Source organism: Homo sapiens, chromosome 10, assembly GCF_000001405.40.
Source record: "Homo sapiens chromosome 10, GRCh38.p14 Primary Assembly".
Lineage (NCBI taxonomy): Eukaryota > Metazoa > Chordata > Mammalia > Primates > Hominidae > Homo > Homo sapiens.
This window is the reverse complement of record NC_000010.11, coordinates 87,634,894-87,659,625: the sequence shown is the minus strand read 5'-3', so window position 1 is coordinate 87,659,625 and position 24,732 is coordinate 87,634,894. Positions and strand designations below refer to the sequence as shown.

General features: G+C 42.0%; 1 pseudogene, besides 3 other annotated features; it reads right to left on the bottom strand.

Annotated features, from left to right (window-relative positions):
* RPS26P38 (ribosomal protein S26 pseudogene 38) lies at positions 16,603–17,047 on the bottom strand (annotated as a pseudogene).
* Positions 19,732–20,246: an enhancer, noted in NCBI's record as "NANOG hESC enhancer chr10:89399137-89399651 (GRCh37/hg19 assembly coordinates)". NCBI's record gives its function as "activates a minimal SCP1, AML or CMV promoter by ChIP-STARR-seq in naive H9 embryonic stem cells {active_cell/tissue: H9 hESC(naive)}" and the evidence as "EXISTENCE:reporter gene assay evidence [ECO:0000049][PMID:30033119]".
* Positions 20,247–20,762: an enhancer, noted in NCBI's record as "NANOG hESC enhancer chr10:89398621-89399136 (GRCh37/hg19 assembly coordinates)". NCBI's record gives its function as "activates a minimal SCP1, AML or CMV promoter by ChIP-STARR-seq in naive H9 embryonic stem cells {active_cell/tissue: H9 hESC(naive)}" and the evidence as "EXISTENCE:reporter gene assay evidence [ECO:0000049][PMID:30033119]".
* Positions 22,341–22,390: an enhancer, noted in NCBI's record as "active region_3711". NCBI's record gives its function as "activates an Ori minimal core promoter by ATAC-STARR-seq in GM12878 lymphoblastoid cells {active_cell/tissue: GM12878}" and the evidence as "EXISTENCE:reporter gene assay evidence [ECO:0000049][PMID:35858748]".

The window sequence follows — 24,732 nt, the reverse complement described above, 5'->3', positions numbered from 1 at the left end:
CCGGCACGCGGCCTGGGGTCAAGTTCACCCCGCCCGCCCCACCCCCAGAGGGTCCCAGAGCGTCCTCCACTCCCCTCACCAGCCTCCCGCGCCTCTTCAAGGAAGTCTTCCTGCCTCTAGGACCTAAGAGCTTATTTGGTTAAGGGCAAGGATGCTTGAAGCCGCCAGGTTTGTTGGCAGGATCCTCATATGCAGTAGTAAAAACGAAGGTTCACACTCATGGATCCTTACAATGCACTCCGCTGGGCTCTGCCTTAATTCTCATGGGCCCCCTCCATCCTGCCCCGACCCCGGGCAGCAAGTCCTACTATCTTCCAGTTTTACAAACGAGCAATTGAGGCTTTCAGACTTTGCCAAGATTATATTCCAAATGAGGGGATTCAAACCCAGGCTGACAGCCTCCTCAGTGCAGGCTTTCTTCACCAGCATCATCACACATGGTGATAACTCCCAAGGTTCACAGCTTGTCTGTTCACTATGCATCGTGCTGAGGGGCTTCCATGCACTTCCTCCATTCCCGCTCACAACAGTATCGTCAGGTTACAGGTATGGGCCTGTGGAGGCACGGCCCCTCCTCACAACGACAAGCAAGTGGCAATGGCCAATGGAAGCCCAGCAACTTGTTTCAGTCCACCCCCAAAGTAGCACTTCTGTTCCACTGGAATGGGCCCTGAGGAGGAGGAAAAGGAGGCACAAGATGAGCAGGCTTAGGCCTAGGGCGCCAAGATTTTACCAGAAGGCAGTATGGGGCAACCCTCTGAACGAACCCAAAGGCAGTATGGGGCAACCCTCTGAACGAACCCAAATGTCAAGGCCAAGTAGAGGTGAGGGAGAGAAGCTCTAGTGACAAGCACTTTGGGGGCAGTCACTGGGTCTCACACCCCTTGTACCTTAACTGACTCCTTGTGTAATGCTACAAACGGATGGATATGACCATACTCTCAAAAGAAGTAACGTAACACACAAGGGCCACACTTCTCATTCCCACTCTAGTGTTCCTGCTGTGAAAGAGTTGGAGTAATATTCTATGGAGGTGAGGGATGGGACTTTTCTTTCATACCTAATTGTATTTCTGGAAGACTGCCAGCTTTCCAGACAGACACTTGATCTGAGTATTCATTGACTGCCCTTCGCCGTGGGAAGGTGGGAAAGAAAAATAAATCAGGAGTCAGAAACGTAAAAGGCAGCCTGCATGTCTGTACAGTCTAGAGTTGTAAGCTGATTTATTTTCTTACTCATTTTGAGTAAACTGCCACCACTGCCTTCCAATGTAAGCAGCTAGGGGCAAATACTGAGTTTGAGTTTCTGTTCTGCATACAAACTAGCACATTTTAAATGTATATGAAGTTTAAATAGCAACATCCTATTCTTATTTCATTGGAAAAATCCTTTTATATTAGTTTCCACCATATCTTAGACTCTGCCAGATCTTGCCCTAAGAAAAGGTAAAGTAAATGTGAATTGAAAAATAGCAATTTGCGGCCTGGCACGGTGGCTCATGCCTGTAATCCCAGCACTTTGGGAGGCCGAGGCAGTCAGATCACCTGGTATCAGGAGTTCGAGACTAGACTGACCAACATGATGAAACCCTGTCTCTAATAAAAATACAAAATTAGCCAGATGTGATGGCATATGCCTGTAATCCCGGCTACTTGGGAGGCTGAGGCAGGAGAATCGCTTGAACCCGGGAGGCAGAGATTGCAGTGAGCCGAGATTGCGCCATTGCACTCCAGCCTGAGTAACAAGAGTGAAACTCCATCTCAAAAAAAAAAAAAGAAAAATAGCAATTTGCGTGATTGTTATTTTGTTTTTATATTGCATCTAAAAACAAAAAGCTGTCTTCTTGAAACAGGAAGTTAAGGACAAATACGTAAGCTACTTCCTGGAAAAGAAATATATGATTGTTTAGATCTGGGAGAGGTTGTGAGATCATTTGTCCAATTTCCCCATTCCTGTATTTTACATATGAGCAATGTAAAACTGGCGCTTAGGGAAGGGAGGGCATCTGACCGTAGTCACTAGTTAGGAGCAGAGCTGAGGCTTTAACGCAGGTCAGCCTGACTTCCCAAGTGCTCTGACCCCAAATGTCCTGCCCACTGAGTCACCCAACTTCCACGCCAACTATTTCAATACCCCATGATAACTGTAAACAGGACTGCTTATCTTGTTTTAGATTTCATTCATTCTCAAAAATTATTTTGGAATAGGCATTCTTTTACTGTGAAAATGGAGGCCTCAGTTCTTTTGGACTCAAGCTAGGCTGTTTATGACCCTTTGATGTCACAGATCACCAATTTAGTCGTGATTCAGCACAGCAGTTTACTAAAAAGCAAAACACTCTTTTTTTATTTTCTCAGGGTCTTTCCTTTTAAAGGCAATAGATTTCTTTTTCATCTCACTACCCTCTTGCTCTTAGGAGAGGACATTCCTTCTGAAAAGATATGAGCAACGAGAAACTTAATTTTCGGAGCCTATGATTCGGACATATAGGAACTGGGAGAAGACTCATTCAGGGGACAGAGGAAGGATTGAGGTCTTCTGCTTCATATAGACACAGAATCTGTAACTTCTTCAGTAGTGTTCCCTCCAAGACTTCCCTGAAAAACACCATAGATAACATTGTGCCAATTGATCATCCCTGATACTACTGATAACATTTACATGAAGGTTTCCCCTGTACCACCCCTTCTCCACCATCTCATTTTCATTTCTTCCTTCCAGAAGCTGTCTGCACTTGCATAACTTAATAAAATGGTGATTGCTAGTTGATCCTTATATTGTTTAGAAAAGATAGAATCAGTCAACTCCTCCAAATAAACAGGAGAAGGATATACAAAGAATGCCAGTGTTGGTGAGATGTTTATGCCACAGTTTCTCCAATGCATTTTAGGGGGGCTCATCATATTAGGGGCTCTAACGTGGAGGCAACACCACTGGGTGGTCATTACAAGGAATGTGACTATATTGCCCCCTCGTGGTTGTAATGCATAAATGCTGAACAAGACCTGAAACCCCCTAAACAAAAATAAGTGCAGCATTCCACTGGGTGAAGAGCACTTAGTGAAAATCTTTGAGGATCTGAACACTTTTCTCAGGCACAGGTACTACTTAGATGAGCAAGATGTGGTCCCTGTCTTCAAGAAACTCACAATCTATTGAAAGAGAAAGATACCCGACTCCCTTCCTGCCGCCCACTGGTTCCCCATCACTTCAATACATAATTGGTTGAACAGGTAAAGATGATACGTGCATGCCTTAGACATTTTATTTTGACTTAACACATACACGTCACTAATCTTTTGATATGGGGCCAAAGGCTTCTAATTGTGACATGAGTCTACTGATAGGAACTTCATAAACTACTTTCATTAGGCATCTTCAACAATTTCCAGGTTGGAATTTTATAAAGTGAAGTTAGAAATTAAGGGCACTTAAAAAAATCTGAAAGGAGATTCTTTCAAGATTACTACATACCCCTCCCCTATCCTGTCTGTAGTTTTGCCTATGGCTCATTCAAAAGTACGATTTCTAGCATCTTATCTTTCCAAAGCATCCATCTGTTTTCATAGAAAACACAACTCTTTCACTCATGTGCTATTCACTCAAGTGACATCTAGTTAAATTACTTAATTAAACTAACAAGTACGACTGGCAGAAATAGGTTTGAGAACAAACAATGGATCCCAGCAAACACGCAGCTTAGGTGAAGAAGTGTCTGGGCATTTCAGTGCATCCTCCTGTTGAAGAACATTGAGTTCACTGTGGGCATCAGTCATTGTTTTCTCTCAAAGAAACCCAGAATATGGATTAAACTGGTCAGTAAATTAAAGGAGATTGTGAGTGCACAAAGGAGGGACATCTAGTTCAACCTTGGGAGGAGAGTGGGGACTGATGTCAGATTTTCTTGGGGAAAGATCATATATGAACTGAGACTTTAAAAAATGGTAGGAGCCAGGCATGGTGGCTCAGGCCTGTAATCTCAGCACTTTGGGAGGCTGAGGCGGGTGGATCATTTGAGGTCAGGAGTTCAAGACCAGCCTGGCCAACACGGTGAAACCCCGTCTCTACAAAAAATACAAAAAAATTTTAAAAAAAGCCAGGCGTGGTGGTGCGCACCTGTAATCCCAGCTACTTGAAAGGCTGAGGCACGGGAATCACTTGAATCCAGAAGGCGGAGGTTGCAGTGAGCCAAGATTGTGTCACTGCACTCCAGCGTGGGTGACAGAGTGAGACCCTGTCTCAAAACAAAACAAACAAACAAAAAACACAAGTGGTAGGGTTTTTGTCAGCACTCCCCTCTGTAAGATGGATGTGTGTGTAAGCTTGAAAATTGTAAAGCAGAGAGATGCATGAAATAACATGGTATGTTCAGAAAATTATAAGTATCTGTATTGCTGATTTTAGAAAATGCAATTGAAGAGTAGGGAAAGTTGTAACTGAGGACCTACCACATATAATCAGGTAGCAGCGTGCTTTTGCACGTTCTCTTCTTCATGCCCTTCGGAGTGTGTTAGCCATGTGGCTGGCCTCCCATTTGTTCAGTAGTAATTAGGGACACTTCCCAGGTCCAAGAAGGAGAAGTCACTGTCCTGAGGTGCCCATGGTCTGATGTGGGAGATGGAGATGTACACAAATAATTCTGATTTTTTTTTTTGAAATGGAGCCTCACTCTGTTGCCCAGGCTGGAGTGCAGTGGCACCATCTTGGCTCACTGCAACCTGTGTCACCTGGGTTCAAGCGGTTCTCCTGCCTCAGCCTCCCGAGTAGCTGGGATTACAGGCATCTGTCACCGCACCTGGCTAATTTTTGTAGTTTTAGTAGAGACAGGGTTTCACAACCTTAGTCAGGCTGGTCTTGAACTCCTGACCTCGTGATCCACCCGCCTCGGCCTCCCAAAGTGCTGAGATTACAGGCATGAGCCACCGTGCCCAGCTGTACACAAATAATTCTAAGGAAATGTGATTAATTGCTGGAATAAAAGGATATTTAGAGTAATTTAAAAAGTACATAAAAACAGAGGTGATGACTGCTGGACTATGAAGAGATCCTATGACTGGTGATATTTAGCCTGAGTTTTCAAGGTTAAAAGGAAGTTGAACAGGAGGGTGATCTGTCACCCTACTGATGGCCAAAGCTGCTTCAGCTGATGCCTCGGGCTGCATGAGGTATTCACTTCTTACCCTGCTATTTCTGGTTCTTCCTTCCTGAAGTACTCCAGCCTATCAGTAAATACCCAGGTATAGTACACAGAGAAAAAGTGATAGGCAAACATTGCACTGGCAGCACTGACCCTATCACCAAAAGGCTGCCCAGAGATCTTAGGTGGCCAGTGGAAAAATCCTTACTCCCAGGCAAAAGTAATGCTCTTCTGCCATTTCTTGAATGAATCCAGTTTGAAGTTATTATCTAGTTTTTGTATTCACGTAAAAAAAGTATATTTATTAGTGTACTCACACATTGCATAAAGGAGAAACAATTTGGGTATTTATGGAGATATACTTCAAAATTCAACAAACCTTAGCGAAAACAACAGTTACACTTGTTTAATGTCAGACAAATCATTTACTTCAGTTATTAATAACTAATTGGCTGAGTTTTTCAGACTTCAACAGGTTCTTTTTTTTTTCTTTTTTTTTAAGAATTGTCTCACTCTTGTCGCCCAGGCTGGAGTGCAGTGACGCGATCTCACTGCAACCTCCGCCTCCCAGGTTCAAGCAATTCTCCTGTCTCAGCCACCTGAGTAGCTGGGATTACATGCATCTGCCACCACACCCAACTAATTTTTGTACTTTTTAGTAGAGATGGGGTTTCACCATGTTGGCCAGGCTGGTCTCAAACTCCTGACCTCAGGTGATCCACCTGCCTCGGCCCCCCAAAGTGCTGGGATTACAGGCATGAGCCACCGCGCCCAGCCAACAGGTTATTTTAAAAGGTGTTTAGCAAGGTGAAATAGATCTTAATCTATGTCACTAGAGGTTTATTTGAAAAATATCCAACTAAAGTTAGCTATATTTTAAGAATTACATTTTAAAGAAAGGAAAGAAGGAAGAAGGAAAAGGAAGAAATAGAAATTGTGATGTTTGGCCTAAAATTGAGCAAATATCACAAAACATTACATTCAGAGAAAGTAGAGTTGTCATTGAAGAAATTTATCTTAAAGTATGGAAGAATAGAAATATTTCATTTAAAAATAACTCATATAGGGTTATGTTGTAAGTGCTCTATCTTCCAGTATACCTGAGAAATGTGGTGGTATGATACATTTAATAGTATAATTATTAGGGAATATCATAGATACTCTAAGTGGATAGTTAATTTCCAAAGAGTAGAATACAATATGTTGAGCATAATTGAATTTACTAGGGGGTCCCAAACCTTCTGGAAGGATTTCATAAATTTGGGTGGTCACATCATGGAAAGATAAGCAGTAAAAAATAAATAAAAATAAAAATAAATCTTGCTGTCTCTCTGACACACATGCACTCGTTCTCTCTGTCTCTCTCGCTGTCTCTGGTAAAAATATAAAAACGCTAATGGTCCCAACTCATGAATCTTTGGCTTCCTGAAAGTATTTTAAAAGAGGTTATATGGATGCTAAACATTTTCTGAAAAACAGTGAAGAATAACATTTGTGTTCACTTAAAATGTTATCAAATTCATTTATTGATTACATGCTATTTTCAGTCACTGAATACTAAAAATACAACTACAATTATAGCAATAATCTCCTAAAGAAAAGATTGGAGACTATTGCCCATTATAAAAACATAAATATTGGGCCTAGTTGTTATTATATGCACTGTTAAACTTATTCTTGAACCTTGAGATATCCCTATTGTTTGTTTTTGTTTGGTTTTCTTTTAGTTTAGAAAGACAACTCTGCTCTGGACAGGGGTAAGGTCTTCACTGAAGCCCCAGAAGTTCTCAAACTTTGTGGTATATTACAGTCGTTGGAAGAACCACACACTGGAATGATTCAATCAAAAATCAAAATCTGAGGGGTGGGTCCCAGGCGTCAGTAGTTTTAAAAGTTTCTCATTAAGAGAATCCTTGGTTCTCAAAAATTAGGGTGCCCCAGATCCCCTAGAAGGCTTGTGAAAATCCAGATTGCAGCCCCACCACCCCACCACCCCACCAGCACATCTCATTCAGAAGGTCTAGAGTGGGACACAGAATTTGCATTTCTAAAGGTTCCCAAGGGCTGCTGATGTTGCTGGTTCAGAAACCACAATCTGCAAAACACTGTCCTAAATGTAGGTCTTCCAACTCACCCATGTTTTAATTTTGTACAATAAATTTAGAAAATAAAGTAGAAAGAGAAGAAATATATGTGTTGGGGAGACACCTTGGATAATATTGTAAAAATTCATTTATAATGTTTGACTGCAATAAAACGTCTAAAAGAGTCGTGGGGAAGCAAATAAACTTTACCAAGAAAAGTTCTTAGGGTTGACTAGTCATTAAAATCACCTGGGAAGCTTAGAAAAAAAAAAAAAAATCTGCTGCCTGGCTTTTCTCGCCCCTGCACCAAAAAATTAAACCCTTAGGTGAGGCTACTGTGCAGCCAGGTGGGGAACATCTAGCCCACCGTCTCTCCAGCTCCAGCGTGCGTAAAGATCCCCTGGAGTGCTTGTAAAAACACACATTCCTGAATCCTACCCTCGGAATTCCCCTGCAAGATCACTTAGCTCTAATTCCAATGGAGAACTTTTCATTAGGCCTGAGTGATTTTTCTCCGAAATGCTTTGTTTAGTCTGAGTTCTTTCTTTTATCTAAAGGCTTTGGTCTAACAAAAATCAGAAGACTCTAGTTATATTTTCCACTCTCCACGCTGAACTCAGGATGGTCTTGCTTGAATGGTAGAGGGTCCAGGATGGGGGAATATTTGGTGTAAAAATCAGTTAATACTTTAAAAATATTGTTGGACCATACCATTTTTTTCTAACGTTATTGATTAATCAATAATATTACTGGTTTTGTTATTGGAAAGGGATCCTGATCCAGACCTCAGGAGAGGGTTCTTGGATCTCTTGAAAGAATTCAGGGCGAGTCCACAGTGCAAAGTGAAATCAAGTTTATTAAGAAAGTAAAGGAATAAAAAAATGGCAACTCCATAGGCAGAGCCAAACCTTGAGCTCCTCGACTAAGGAGGATACTTAATGTTATTTCTTGATGATATGCTAAACCAGGGGTGGATTATTCATCAGTTTTCCTGGAAAGGGGTGGGCAATTCCCGGAACTGAGGGTTCCTCTCCCTTTAAACCATATGGGGTAACTTCCTAAGGTCGCCATGGCATCTGTAAACTGTCATGGCACTGATGGGAGTGTCTTTTAGCATGCTAATGCATTATAATTAGCATATAATGAGCAGAGGACAACCAGAGGTCACTTTCATGGCCATCTTGGTTTTGGTGGGATTTGGCTGGCTTCTTTACTGCATCCTGTTAATCAGCAAGGTCTTTATAACCTGTATCTTGGGCTGACCTCCTATCTCATCCTGTGACTTAGAATGCCTAACCTACTGGGAATGCAGCCTAGCAGGTCTCAGCCTTCTTTTACCCTGCCCCTGTTCAATATGGAGTCACTCTGGTTCAAATGCCTCTAACAGTTTGTGGTTCCTCATGCATAATGCGTAATATTAGCTGGCAGGAGCTACACCTGGCAGTTGTTGGGTGCTAAATCCTTGTTACTACCCACCATGGAGCCCATGGAAGAAGCAGCTCAATTTTATAATGAACTCTTTTGCCCATTTGCCCTTTCAGACTAATTACTGATTTTTTTTTTCTTAAGCCCCCTGAGCTACCGCCTAATATTGTATAAGGCTTCTGATTGAAATAGTTAATAAGTAAATTATACATTAATTTGGGATGAATTGATATAAAGATCAAGTTTCCTCTCTGCCACATGGTATCTCAATCTAGTCAGATTTCTTAGGTCTCATATATAAGTAATTCCTATTAAATTATAAGTGGAATTCCCCACTTTACTCCCCTTCTGTCATTCTTGTTTTGGAGAAATGCTATGGATTTGGAGATATTTCTCAATTTGGTTACTTAGTTCATCTTTACTTAAAATAATAAAATTATATATTTACTTAATAAAATCACCTTTTTTTTCCCTTAATTTGAATGTTGGGGTTTGAGGAAAAGAGAGTTAACTGATAGTTTCAAGTAGCTGGTAAGCTGGAACAAGTCTGAAAAAATTGTGTGCATTTCGAAGGGCTTTCAACGTTGGCAGCACTTTATTTTAATTCAGTGGCTTGCCTTTCTTCTTTTCTGTCTCTCTCAAAAGTGTTTCACCAGGCTTAGCGCAGTGGCTCAAACCTGTAATCCCAGCACTTTGGGAAGCCAAGGTGGGTGGATCACCTGAGGTCAGGAGTTTGAGACCAGCCTGGCCAACATGGTGAAACCCCGTCTCTTACTAAAAATACAAAAATTAGTTGGACACGGTGATGGGTGCCTGTCATTCCAGCTACTCGAGAGGCTGAGGCAGGAGAATCACTTGAACCCTGGAGACGGAGGTTGCAGTGAGCTGAAATCGTACCACTGCACTCCAGCTTGTCCGATGGAGCAAGACTCCATTTCAAAAAAAAAAAAAAAATCCACATTCTGTGTTAATTTGCTTAGGATAAAAATAAATAATTTTTTTAAATGAACATAAATGTATTATAGATGAATCATGTGATCATACTGAAGAGAGTGGTTAAAAAAAGAACTAACAAGTTACTTTAGAAAGCAGTATTTTAACTGGTTACTATAAGGCTAAAGACAAAAAGAACTGTACACAAATACTGCACTCTAGTTCACAAATTTGCTTTATTTTCTATTTTGTTTTGTTTTGTTTTGTTTTGTTTTGTTTTTGAGACAGAGTTTTGCTCTGTTGCCCAGGCTAGAGTTCAGGAATACAGTCACAGCTCACTGCAGCCTTGACCTCTTGGGCTCAAGTGATCCTCCCACCTCAGCCTCCCAAGTAACTGGGACAACAGGCATGTACCACCACGCTCAGCTAATTTTTTGATATTTTGTAACGGTGAGGTCTTAACTATGTTGCCCAAGCTGCTCTTGAACTCCCGGACTCAAGTGATCCTCACATCTCTGCCTCCCACAGTGCTGGGAATACAGGTGTGAGCCACTGTGCCCAGCCACAAATTTTTTCCTTACAAAGATATGGGTTAGCAATTCTGAAACTATTTTATATGTATACTAGGTTTGAATAAATAGGTATATTGCTGGTAATGAGAGCCAGCTTTCTGTCAGCGAAAGAAATTACGAAGAAGGAGGAAAAGCTAGAATAACCTGGTGGCATTAGACAGGCAATAGAGGTATCAGTATTGATATGGTTTGGCTGTGTCCCCAGCCAAATCTCATCTTGAATTCCCACATGTTGTGGGAGGGACCTGGTGGGAGGTAATTGAATCATGGGGGCAGGTCTTTCCATGCTGTTCTCATGATAGTGAATAAGTCTCACAAGATCTGAAGGTTATATAAGGGGGAGTTTCCCTGCATAAGCTCTCTCTTTGCCTGCTGCCATTTATGTAAGATGTGACTTGCTCCTCCTTGCCTTCCACCATGATTGTGAGGCCTCCACAGCCGCATGAAACTGTAAGTCCATTAAACCTTCTTCCTGTATTAATTACCCGGTCTTGGGTATGTCTTTATCAGCAGTGTGAAAACGGACTAATACAAGTATAAATGCCTAGGTTTTTAATATACATACATATAGGTAGATATAGACGTAGATATGTGTATATGAATGTGCTGGTATACATGTTTGTATTTCCTAGCTCTGTCCACTGAGAGAGTTTAAAAGCAATAAAATCACAATAGCAATGAACACACCCAGTATTGAGATCTTGGTTTCTAAATACTATTCGTCAATAAAAGAAACCAGGGCTCCTTGGAGAAGTAGTTGATTCCAGGGCTGAGGCAGGAAGAATACAAAATGAGGCTGGAGCCTCTTGTGCTAGAAAGTAAGGAAGTATTCAAAAAAAGAATGGGGTATATCAAAAGGCACAGAAGCCAGCCTGAAAGAACTCCCAGTTGCCAAAGCTAGAACAACTAGAACCACAAAATCTGTAATGATAGTATTGAATTATAACCCACAGAATAAAATAGACATCTAAGAGTCCATAATGATGTAAATAAGTGATTGAATACATGAATATGTGGAAGAGAGGGATAAATCTTTCTTTTGGAGAGATTCCAGTTAATAAATGTAAAAGGAATGGGAGAAACAATAAATCGCCATTAGTAATTGTTGCAGACACAATCTATCAATGAAATCTTAAAGTTGTGGGAAAAAATTCAAGTAGAAAGAGTATATTTGTATAGTCTCAAAGTTTCTATCCCAAGATGTTTACTATTTACAAAGGGGGAAAAGTAACTTCACAGTGGACAAACCCAGCATACCTTATCTTAACCATATGATCTAGGCTAACATAACAAACAAAACATGCACATCATGTACCTTCTTACAGGATGTAATGAAAAGGGCATGTCACTTCTGTGGTATTTTGTCAAAAATACATAACTTTAATCCAATAATGAGAAAACATCAGACTAACCTGATGGAGAACATTTTGCAAGATAAACAATCAGTACTCTTCAAAAGAGTCAAGGTTATGAAAGAAAAGGACAAACTGAGGAACAGTCACAGACTGAAGGAGACCAAGGAGATGTGGTGGATAGACTTTAAAGTGGTCCCCATGGTTCCCCCTTCTGATATGCATGCCTTTATGTAACCCCCTCCCGTTGAATGTGGGTGGGACCTGTGACTTATTTATAACCAATGGAATATGGTAAAGGCAATGCGAGGTATGTGATTGTGATTATGTGCATGTGATTACACAAGATTATAGCACCTGTCTTGCAAAAGAGTCTCTCTATTGCAAGAGGAATTGTGCTTTTTCTCCCTTCAATTGTGAGGTGTCCACACTCACCCTGAGTGTGGAAGAAAGGAGGATGTGGTAGCTTTTTCTTTTTTTTTTGAGACAGAGTCTCACTCTGTCACCCAGGCTGGAATGCAGTGGCATGATCTTGGCTCACTGCAACCTCCACCTCCTGGGTTCAAGTGATTCTCCTGCCTCAGCCTCCTGAGTAGTTGGGATTACAGGCACCTGCCACCATGCCCGGCTAATTTTTGTACTTTTAGTAGAGATGGGGTTTCACCACGTTGGCCAGGCTGGTCTCGAACTCCTGAACTCAGGTGATCCACCTGCCTTGGCCTCCCAAAGTGCTGGGATTACAGGTGTGGGCCACCACGCCCAGCCAATGTAGTAGCATTAGGTCCAACATGATTGCACACCCAGAACTAGATATTTCCACCATCCCAAAATAGATTGTGTAAAGAGAGCCAGGCAACTGCCCCACATTGGGAGGAGGCAGAAATTTAAATGTGAGGCAGACGGGAACTCCCTATTGGCAGCAGAAACTGAAAGACAAAGCAAGAAAAGCCATTGAGCAAATGTCATCAGGCAATGGAATCCATGAGTAAGCAGAGCCTTTAGGTAAAGAAGAGAAGCGTAGACACAGCAGAAGTGAAGACCTAGAAAAATGATATCACAAGAATGGTGGAGTGCCTGAAGCACAGAACACTTGATGCTGGATTGGCAGAGGTGCTGGTATCCAAAACCCAGCCAGTGTGTACTCAAAAGAATCCAAGTGGACATTGCCACCACCCAGCAGGCTCTTCTCAGATCAGAAGCTCCCGTATGTCAGCAGACGTCCTTTCACATCAGCCCCACGAGACACCAATGTGATCCTTCCAAATGTGGCTCCACACACCTTGGGAAACTGTCCCACTCAGAGTGCTGTCATTTCTGCAATACTATGTCTGGAGACTTTACCTGGCTCAGGCCTTCCTTAGACTCTAGGCTGTGGCAGCTTCCAAAGTATGCCTTTGACAGCATACTTTGGAATTCATCAAATTCCACTTGAAGATATGTGAGAGCTTGCACAATAGTTTGTCTAAGGACTGTCAATTGGTGATGGATTGAGAGTCTGGTGAAGGGGATCAGAATATACCACCCCCAAATATACCACTTTGGCATAGGATTATTTTGAAGTTAAAGCAATTGAGAAATAGCAGATTCAGAAGGAACTCTCTACCCTCCCCTTTTCTGCCTAAAAGTAGGGTAAATATAACAAATTTCCATCTGTAAAAGTATCTCCCCTCCCCTCTCCCATACCGGAAGGCAGAGAACAACCTGTGTCACAGGAGCTGGTAAGTCAACACTGAGATGAGTCTGCACAAACAAACCTTACTACCATAACCCTTTCCTTCAATGAGCTTCCCCGATATATTTACCCTCCCAAAATATACCACCATTAGAAGCCCAAGCCCCTTTTCCTTTGTCTTATCATTTCTCCAGAATTTATCACCCTTTGTTAAGATGATATATAAGCTCTTAGGCCTGACTGATTTGGGTTTTCAGTTCTTTTCTGTGACACCTCCCTCCCTATGTGCATATAAAATAACTTTTTATTAATCTGTCATTTGTCAGTTTAAGTCACAGGCCCCAGCCCCTAAACCCAAGAGGGTATAGGAAAATTTTTTTTCTTCCTCTACATCTGGAACCTCCCTGCCCATATTTCTTTCAGCACTACTAAAGCGTCAGAACTTTCCTCACCAGTACTCAGGAGTTTTTATCAATTATCATTGCCTTCGTGCAAACATGATAATGAATGGTAGTAAGCTGATGCCTATGCTTTCAATCAGGAGGTCACAACTTACAAAAAATATCGAATATTCATACTCTCTTATAAATTCCACACAGCCAACTGATTCTCATAGAATGTTTTCCTTGATTTTTGCCAAATTCGTAGTGCATAGTCAAGCTAGGGTATAATTCAAGCATGATTTGACAAATAAGATTGCATCCTAATCTGCTAACCCTTTTCGCAATAAATTTATTATCATTTCATCTGATATATGATCTGTTAAACTATTTTTTACCCTCATAAAAATTACATTCACTAAAGTGAGCCTCCTTTCAGCTTCTGCACTACCGTGCTGGAACTTCCCTTACTCGTTCATCAATGGCATGAGCAACTTCATTGCTGAATAATAGCTTTTGAATACTGAAAGAATATTTCCTTGATGTTTTGTGCCATTCAGGATGCAATAGCTATAACCATGACTTATTTTTCAGGTTAATCTTCATTGTTCCACTGGGAATATACTGATATGGCAAAAAACTCTAGCGATGAGTTAATTAACTGACTCATTTTACTGAATTCAGGAAGAATTCAAGAGTGATGCTTTATAGGTGTCAAATTCAGCTGTCCTTAATCCTTGGGCAGAGCTAATTTCTGCCAGGAACTATTTAATCCTGCATGAGGCTACAAACTCCTTCCTGAGACTGGTGCTAGAAGTCAGGAAAGGCCTGTGTTCGTATATGTGGTCGGCAGCCTCTGAGATGGCCTTCATTGTCCCCATCTCCTGCTGTGTCATCTTCTCCCCTTGAAAGTGGGCTGAGCTAATGACTGGCTTCTAGGGACTATAATATGGCAAAAGTGATTGGATGTCACTTCCAAGATTAGGTTATAAGAAGACTGACTTCCATCTTCCTCACTCCCTCCTCCTGTCTCCCTGGCTCCCTCTGAGGACAGCCAGCTGTTGTGTTGTGAGCTGCCCTAGGAAGAGGTCCACCAGGGAAGAAACTAATTAGTCTTCAGTCAATAGCCAGTGACAGCCTGAGGCCTACCAGTAGTCACAGAGTGAGCTTAGAAGTGGATCTTCCCTCAGTCAAACCTCCAGATGAGACCGGATGTATTAGTCTGTTCTTATACTGCTAATAAAGACATACCCGAGACTGGGTAATTTATAAAGGAAAGAGGCTTAATTGACTCACAGTTCCACATGGCTGGGGAGGCCTCACAATTATGGCAGAAGGCAAATGAAGAGTAAAATCACATCTTACATGGCAGCAGGAAAGAGAGCTTGAGCAGGGGAACTCCCCTCTATAAAACCATCAGATCTCAGACTTATTCACCACCACAAGAACAACATGGGAAAGACCCGCTCCCATGATTCAATTACCTCCCACTGGGTCCCTCCTACAACACATGGGAATTATGGGTGCTACAATTCAAGATGAGATTTGGGTGGGGACACAGCCAAACCATATCACCAGAGTCCTGAGTGACACCTTGATTGCACCCTTGTGAGAGACCTTGAGGGAGAAACACCCTGCTAAGCCTGGAATGCTGACCTTCAGAAACTTCGAGATTTTAAATGTGTGTTGTTTAAACCATTAAGTTTCTAATGCTGCAACAGATAGCTAACATGATATGTATTATTACAAATAAAATAGAATATTATTCCCTCCATTGTACAGATGAGGCAAACAACTGTTTGACTAACTTTCCCAGGTTTGCCTAGCCCTTGTATAAAGGGGCTCAGCTGAGATTCCAACCCAGGTGCATGCTCTCAATGTCACTCTGTCTGCCGTCCATGAGTGGCCAGAAACAATAACATATTTCAGTTTTAGTCAGGGGGCCCTGATGCGATCCCTTCTGTTTCCCTTAGGACATTATGGTAATGGTTAGCAATTTACCTCATCAGATCATGTACCTCATCAGATCAGTGTACCTCAGATCCATTAAATTGCTCAACAAATGACTCTCGCTTCCTTTTGGACAAGCTGTTATCTCAGTTCTCTCTACACCTGCATTCTTTGCAATTTTATTTGCAAGGTCTTTTCAGAAGAACAGCCAGTTTTTTCAAAGGCAGGTAATCAAACATTGAATATTTCTTTTTCTGGAAGAAATTCACCAAACTCACATATTCTGAGTTATAACCCAAAGCCTTTTGTTTTGGTTTTGGTTCTTTTGAGATAGGTTCTCACTCTATTACCCAGGCTAGAGTGCATCAACATGATCATGGTTCACAGCAGCCTCAATCTGCTGGGCTCAAGGGATCCTCCCATCTCAGTCTCCTGAGTAGCTGGGACAATAGATGCAGCTAATTTTTTTTTTTTTTTTTTTTTTTTTTTTTTTTTTTTTTTTTTTTTTGCAGAGGCAGGGTCTCACAATTTTGCCCAGGCTGGTCTTAAACTTGTGGGCTCAAGCAATCCTCCCATCTCAGCTTCCCAAAGTGCTGGGATTACAGGCATGAGCCACTGCACCTAGCCCCATATTTTTTAAGTAGTTGAAATAAATGGTATTATTTCAAACTTGCAGCATAAAAAACTGGTGCATCCCATATTTAGTGTGTGAGTAAACCTTCTAGAATAAACAGAAAAGAAGAGTGAGCACATTTGCAGAAGTGGTGATACCAACAATATTCATTCTATCCTAAAGTGTTACTGCATTAAGAAGCACAAAAAAGGCCTTAGCAAAATGAAATTCTGATACTCCTATCTAAATCAATTGTTACCACTTCCCTGTTCAAGTTGGAATGTGAAAATTTTGTCCCTATTAAAATGAGTCAGCTGAGTTGAGAATGTTTTTTGAGCAGAACTGAAAACAACATGCTAATAAGCTGAACATGTAAGTACTTGCATCCCAAGGATGCACTTGTATGTAATAGGAGTTGTGAAATTATTACATCTAAACCTTAAAAAGCTATTATAATAGGAAGCATTTATTTATTTATTTATTTTTAAGTACAATTTCCATTTTATTTTTCTCCAGAGAATAGTCTGTCTTCAGTCTTTAAGGACTAAGCTCCTTACATGGGCTTTGGTGGGAGTCGTGGGGCAGCACCCGCAGGTCTAAATCAAGGTGGGGGTGTTCAGTCCTTGTGGGCTTCACGAGATCAATTCCTGACTACTTTGCTGTGAATTGCACAACTCACACAGTAATGTAGCTTCACATACAGCTTGGGACGCACATAGGCATCAAAGACGCTCGCTTCAGAAATGTCCCTGACTGCTGTGGCCTCCACTATGTTTTGAATGACGAATTTCTTAATGGCCTTGTCCTTGGACACGCATCAGGCACAGTTCATGCAATGAATAGGCTGCACGTGGCCACGGACCTTTTTGGCACGACCATTGTTCCTTCTTTTCTTTGTCATCTTGGAGGGACAGACCGGAGAGAGGGGAAGCATTTATTTTAATTCATTCGTCCCATTGCAGTTCTGGTGTGCTAGTCATACAAAATACAAATATTCCAAGAAACAATCTTAAACTGATATAGAGTGCCCTTTTCAAATAAACCTGGAAAGAAATTATCTGTGGAATTCTGTAAACTTTTTCCTGCCTAAAAAAAAGAAAAATTTCAACCTTAGCCTTAATTATCCATTCCATTCCTTAACCTACTTGGCCATGGACACCTTTCTTAGAATTCTGCTGAGAAAGTACCAGCTTAACCCATCCATGATCTAATGCTTGGGTTCTTTTGCAAATACAAACTCCCACGGTGGTACAACAAAGTGAGGTTGAGTTGTTCAGATTAATTTGTTGTTTGAGGCCCAGTGCTTAGCTGGCTAAGTCAAGACAATAAAGCTAATGCACATAGCACTTAATACTCTTCTGAGTACCTTACATATATTAACTAATTTAACCTTCATAACAACTATGAAGCAGGTAATATTGCTATTCCCATTTTATAGAAGAGGATATGAGGCACAAACAGTGTAAGTACCTACTAAGTAAAATGGCAGGGCAGGATTCAAACCCAGAGAGTCTGGCTCTATAGTCCACATTTGTAACCACTATGCATGCTACCCCTCCCATGTCTGTGCATGCAATTAAAAAAAAAACTTATTAGACAGAATAAAATGTTCATTAACTTGGAGTTATTAGTAGAAAAGTCATTCTGTATAGGAGGAGATCAAATGGTTTTAGAAGAGTATATCCATTTTTAAAATTTTAATGATTTAAAATAAATTGACTTTTTTTTTTCAAATACCTCCAACAACAGGAACTAACTGCTAGCTTCTGAACTATATTCACAGAGTGAGAGCCTGTTAGGAAGACGTATTTGCATTCATTAGCTCTGTCCACACATGTTCACCTGGTGAACTTCATAAACAACTTGTTTTTTAAAGTAGGTTAATAAGTCCATGAAAGCATGTTCATAATGTCAATTTGCTTAGCAAACTCTTTATTGGAGAAAATGCTTTTGCAGTAATATCTTGAGCCTTGCCCAGGTTGAAAAAAATCAGAAATTTCATATCAGTTGAGTCCAAAGGCAGAAGCTTGATATCAAAAAACACACATCAGAGCATTTTCTTGACCAGGTTTCTTTCCTTGTTGGCATCAAAAGAATGGAGAATAGACTAAGTATTATTTTCAGATCTTAAATCAACTCTTCCTCTTATTGGCTAGGATAATTTGAGTTCTTTAAATAGATTCTACAGTTTCAACCGAAACTCTGTAAATGGTAAAATCTCAGCAAACACATGTCCTTTTCAGCCCTGCCACTGCCTGTGGTAGAAGGATGGTGTGATGGTTATTAGGTGTCAACTTGATTAGACTGAAGAATACCTAGATGGCTGGTAAAGTATTGTTGCTGGGTGTGTCTGTGAGGGTGTTATCAGCAGAGATTGACAGTCGAGTTGGTGGACTGGAAGAGGAAGACCCACCCTCAATGTGAGTGGGCACCATAAAATCAGCTGCCAGCATGGCTAGAACAAAGCAGGCAGAAGAATATGGGATAACCTTGCTGGCTGAGTCTTCTGGCTTCCTTCTGATCCTCGTGCCCTTGGATATCAGACTCCAGGTCCTTTGGTCTTTGGACTCTGGGACTTAGACTAGTGGTTTCCCGGGGGCTCTTGGGGCTTTGGCCACAGACTGAAGGCTGCACTATCAGCTTGCCTGGTTTTGAGGCTTTTGGACTTGGACTGATCCACTACTGGCTTCTCTCTTTCTCAGCTTGCAGATGGCCTATTGTGGGACTTTGCCTTGTAATCATGTGAGCCAATTTTCCCTAACAAACTCCCTTTTGTGTGTGTGTGTGTGTGTGTGTGTGTGTGTGTGTGTGTGTATATGTGTGTGTGTGTATATATATATATGTCAGTTGAGTCCAAAGGCAGGAGCTTGATATCAAAAAACACACATCAGAGCATTTTCTTGACCAGGTTTCTTTCCTTGTTGGCATCAAAAGAATGGAGAATAGACTAAGTATTATTTTCAGATCATAAATAAACTCTCCCTCCTATTGGCCAGGATAATTTGAGTTCTTTAAATAGATTCCTACAGTTTCAACCAAAACTCTGTAAATGGTAAAAGCTTAGCAAACACATGTCCTTTCCATCCATTTTAAGGATGGATTTCTTTAGTTGGTGTTGGGGTTTCTGGAGTTGGCTCTTTAATCTGATTAGACCTAAAAGTGCTAAGGACTCTACTTCTAATAGTATGGAGAACACTGATAGTTCTTGGTGTGGTTTAGAATTGTGAAAAATAAATGCATTTTATACTTCTGATTCACTGCTCCTCAGAGTCAAGGGGTTTAGTGACTCTATACACAGTAACTTTGAACATTTGCAGAGAACCAAGGAATATAATGAAATTGGTTGGTTGTTCCTAAGTTCACTGGACAAGTGCTGAAAAAAAAGGATGAGCTCAGGAATTCTATCTTCTGGCCTCAGAAGCACATATGTAGCCTCAAATCTACTGTGATTGCCCTGGGTGAGAGTCTTATCATCTGCAGACAAAGGGCTGAAATTGCTGAGAATCAGACACAAGGCCTACAGCAAAAGGTTCATGCTTAGCCTTACCAGGTGTCTACTGTTAAAATAAGGGCATTGGTAGGGAAGGAATGAGACCCTGTAACTTGGGACAGGGATGTGTGGGAGGACTTTGATGAATTTGGGGGCACTGAGCTCCTAAATTCTAATAAGCCTTTTTTTGCCAGAGGAGACGGCCTCCCCACTCACAGTGGTGGCAACATCCCCTCCCCGACCCAGGCTGCTATCAGCCTTTCTACATTTGTCTGAAGAGATTAACCCTGCATTGCTTGAGGAAACAGTGATGGTCCCCCTGAGGCAGTTGCCAGGCAAGACAATGCTGCTTCTCCTCAGGACCCAGCCCCAACACCCACTCTTTGCTTCTATGGCAGTAACTAGACTCAAGTGCCAGCAGGTCCCTAGAGGTGAAGTTCAGAGTGTGACCCATGAGGAAAGAACTACTTGAGTTTTCTAATTTATAGAAGCAGAAATCTGGAGAATACGTGTGGGAATGGACATTAAAGGTATGGGATAATGATGTGAGTACTAAGTTCTATTTTTTTTATCTTGCCCAAATTCCTATCTAAGGGGTCTGGGGAGTCATGCCCTACAAACCATAAATTCTCATCGGATGGATTTTATTTAACCCTATATACGGTAACTTACTTTCCAACCTGACTCTGGCATAACATCATGAGACAAGGAAGAAAATAAAAATATTTTACCCCAAAACATGTTTTTTTGCTATATCCTGAAATGGCCCTGCAAAGCTGTCTTTTGTGGGGGGAAATTGGCATCTATAAGAATCTCTATTAACATAACTAGATCTTTTTCTTCCAGGCCCTCCCAATCCTAAAGAGATTAACTAAAAGTCAACACCTTTCAAAGACCTGAATAGGAGAAGCATTTGTCATCTATTGTCTCTAAGGGCAGCCACTGTAAGACTTCAAAAGAACCTTGGTCTTCACAATCTTTTATCTTAACCTGAATATTTTCTTTCTATTGATCCCAGGTCTTTTTAGACAAACTCAACCAGTTGTCAACCAGAAAATGTTTAAATTTACCTAGGGCCTGGAAGCCATGCACCACCTCCCCACCCCCCAACCCTCCCACCCTCCCTCACTTTTGAGTTGTCCCACCTTTCTGGACCAACCCAATGTATTTCTTAAATGTATTTTATGTCTCATGCCTCCCTAAAATGTATAAACCAAACTGCACTCCAACCACCTTGGATACATACTCTCAGGACCTCCTGAGGCCTGTGTCATGCGCCATGGTCACTCATATTTGGCTCAGAATAAAACTCTTCAAATATTTTCCAGAATTTGACTCTTTTCATTGACAGGTGGAAGGAACGTAAAGTTGGATCAGGCTGGATTTATTAATATGGGCCCACTAAGCAGAGATTCTGCATTTAATGCTACAGCTTGGGGAGTTAGAAAAAGGTTTCTAATAGGACTGCAGTGGTGTGATCTTGGCTCACTGCAACCTCTGCCTCCCAGGTTCAAGCGATTCTCCTCCCTCAGCCTCCCAGATAGCTGGGACTACAAGCACACGCCACCATGCCCGGCTAATTTTTGTATTTTTAGTAGAGATTCACCACATTGGCCAGGCTGGTCTTGAACTCTTGACCTCGTGATCCCCCTGCCTCCACCTCCCAAAGTGCTGGGATTACAGGCATGAGTCACTGCGCCTGGCCTCAACTCTTTTATTTGGCTTATGCAGAAGACATATGGATCTGGAGAATGACAGTGGACTATCATAAGCTTAACGAAGTGGTGACTCCAATTGCAGCTGCTATACTAGATGTGGTTCATTGTTTGAGCAAATTAACACATCTCCTGGTACCTGGTAACTTTTTCTTTACTCCTGTCCATAAGGCCCACCAGAGGCAATTTGCCTCTTACTCCTGTCCATAAGGCCTACCAGAGGCAATTTGCCTTCAGCCAGCAAGGCCAGCAATGTCTTGCTCACAGAGATTTTGATCACTTTTCCCTTCCACAAGATATCACACTAGTTCATTGCATCAGTGACACTATGCTAATTGGACCCAGTGAGTGAGAAGTAGCAAGCACTCGGGACTTATTGGTGAAACACTTTCATGTCAGGGTATGGGAAATAAATCCAACTAAAATTCATGGACCTTCTATATCAGTGAAATTTCTAGGGGTCCACTGGTGAGGGGCCTGTTGAAATATTCCTTCTAAGGTGAAGGATACATTGTTGCATTTGTCCCCTCCTACAACCAAGAAAGAGGTACAAGGCCTAGTGGGCATATTTGGATTTTGGAGGCAACACATTCCTCATTTGGGTGGGTTACTCTGGCCTATTTATTGAGCGACCCAAAAGGCTGCTAGTTTTGAGTGGGGCCCAGAGCAAATGAAGGCTCTGCAAGAGGTCTAGGCTGCTGTGCAAGCTGCTCTGCCACTTGGGCCATATGACCGAGCAGACCCAATGGTGCTTGAGGTGTCAGTGGCAGATAGGGATACTGTTTGGAGCCTTTGTCAGGGCCCCATAGGTGAATCACAGTAGAGGCCTCTAGGATTTTGGAGCAAGGCCCTACCATCTTCTGAAGATAACTACTTTCCTTTTGAGAGACAGCTTTTGGCCTGTTACTGGGCCTTGGTGGAAACTGAACCTTTGACTACAAGTCACCAAGCTACTCCACGACCTGAACTTCCTATCATGAACTGGGTGCTTTCTGACCCATCTAGCCATAAAGTTGGGTATGGACAACAGCATTTTGTCATTCAATGGAAGTGGTATATACATGATTGGGCTTGAGCAGGTCCTGAAGGCACAAGAGAGTTACATGAGGAAGTGGGTCAAATGCCCGTGGTCCCCACTCCTACCACCCTGCCTTCTCTCTCCCAGGCTGCACCCATGGCTTCATGGGGATTTCCCTATGATCAGTTGACAGAGGAAGACAAGACTAGGGCCTGGTTTACAGATGGTACTGCACAGTATGCAGACACCACCTGAATGTGGACAGCTGTAGCACTACAGCCCCTTTCTAGGACATGCCTGAAGGACAGAGGTGAAGGGAAATCTTCCTAGTGGGCAGGACTTTGAGCAGTGCACCTGGTCGTGCACTTTCCTTGGAAGGAGAAATGGCCAGATGTGGGATTATATACTGATTAGTGGGCTGTAGCCAATGGTTAGGCTGGATGGTCAGGGACTTGAAAGGAGCATAACTGGAAAATTGGTGACAAATGAATCTTGGGAAGAGGTATGTGTGTGGACCTCTCTGAGGGGTCAAAAGCCGTGAAGATATTTGTGTCCCACATGAATGCTCACCAAAGGATGACCTCAGCAGAGGAGCATTTGAATAATCAAGTAGATAGGATGACCCATTTTGTGGACACCACTCAGCCTCTTTCCCCAGCCAACCCTGTCATTGCCCAATGGGCTCATGAACAAAATGGCCATGGTGGCAATGGATGGAGGTTATGCATGGGCTCAGCAACATGAACTTCCACTTACCAAAGCTGACCTGGCTACAGCCACCACCGATTGCCCAATCTGCCAGCAGCAGAGACCAACACTGAGCCCTCAGTACGGCATCATTCTTTGGGGTGATCAGCCAGCTACCTGGTGGCAGGTTGATTACATTGGACCTCTTACACCATGGACAGGGCAGCAGTTTGTTCTTACTGGAATAAACATTTACTCTGGATATGGATTTCCCTCTCCTGCATGCAATGCTTCTGCCAAGATTACCATCCATGGACTCACAGAATGCCTTATCCACCATCATTGTATTCCACATACAATTGCCTCTGAAAAAGGAACTCACTTCACAGCTGAAGAAATGTGGCAGTATGCTCATGCTCATGGCATTCACTGGTCTTACTATATTCCCCATCATCCTGAAGCAGATGGCTTGATAGAATGGGAAGAATGGCCTTTTGAAGTCACAATCACAGCACCAACTAGGTGACAATACTTTGCAGGCCTGGGACAAAGTTCTGCAGAAGACGGTGGGTGCTCTGAATCAGCATTCAATGTATGAAACTGCTTCTCCCATAGCCTGTCTAGGAATCAAGGGGTAGAAGTGAAAGTGGCACCACTCACCGTCACCCCTAGTGACTCATTAGCAAAACGTTTGCTTCCTGTTCCTGCAACGTTACATTCTGCTGTCAATTAAGGCCTAGAGGTCTTAGTTCCAGAGGGAAGAATGTTGCCACCAGAAGACACAATGATTCAATTGAACTGGAAGTTAAGACTATCACCTTGCCACTTTGGGCTCCTCCTGCCTCTAAGTCAACAGGCTAAGAGGAGTTACAGTGTTGACTGGGGTGATTGACCCGAACTATCAAGATAAAATCAGTCTACTACTACACAATGGAGGTCAAGAAGAGCATGTCTGGAATACAGGAGATTCCTTAGGCCATCTCTTAGTATTACCATGCCCTGTGATTAAGATCAATGGGAAACTATAAAAATGCAATCCAGGCATGACTACAAATAACCCAGGCCCTTCAAGGATGAAGATTTAGTTCACTCCACCAGGTAAAAAATCACCAGCTAAGGGGCTTGCTGAAGGCAAAGGGAATATAGAATGTGTAGTAGAAGAAGGTAGTTATCAATATGAGCTATGACCACTTGCAGAAATGAGGACTGTAATTCCTGTTTATTTTGTTAAGAATATGTTTGTGCATGTTTACACCCATATTGAAGAAATATCTTCATTTACTTGCTTTTACCTTTATCATGTAACATAAGATTTATTGACTTCATAGCAGTATTTAAGTGCTAACTTTATGTAATAGCATTTAGGTTAAAGATTAGTGTGCTTTCGGTTGTATGAAGAATAGTTGTGTTCTGGTAGGTGTAATTATGACCTTCTTATTGTCTTTATTTGGAGATTAAGTATGATTTCAGGAGATGTATATGGGTGCCCAATTGACAAGGTGTGGACTTGTGAAATTAATGTTAGATGTCAACTTGATTGGATTCAAGGATGCCTAGATGGCTGGTAAAGTATTATTTCGGGTGTGTCTGTGAGGGGTGTTGCCAGAGGAGATCGACATTTGTGTCAGTGGACTGAGAGGAAGACCCACCCTCAATGTGGGGGGCACCATACAATCAGCTGCCAGTGTGACTAGAACAAAGCAG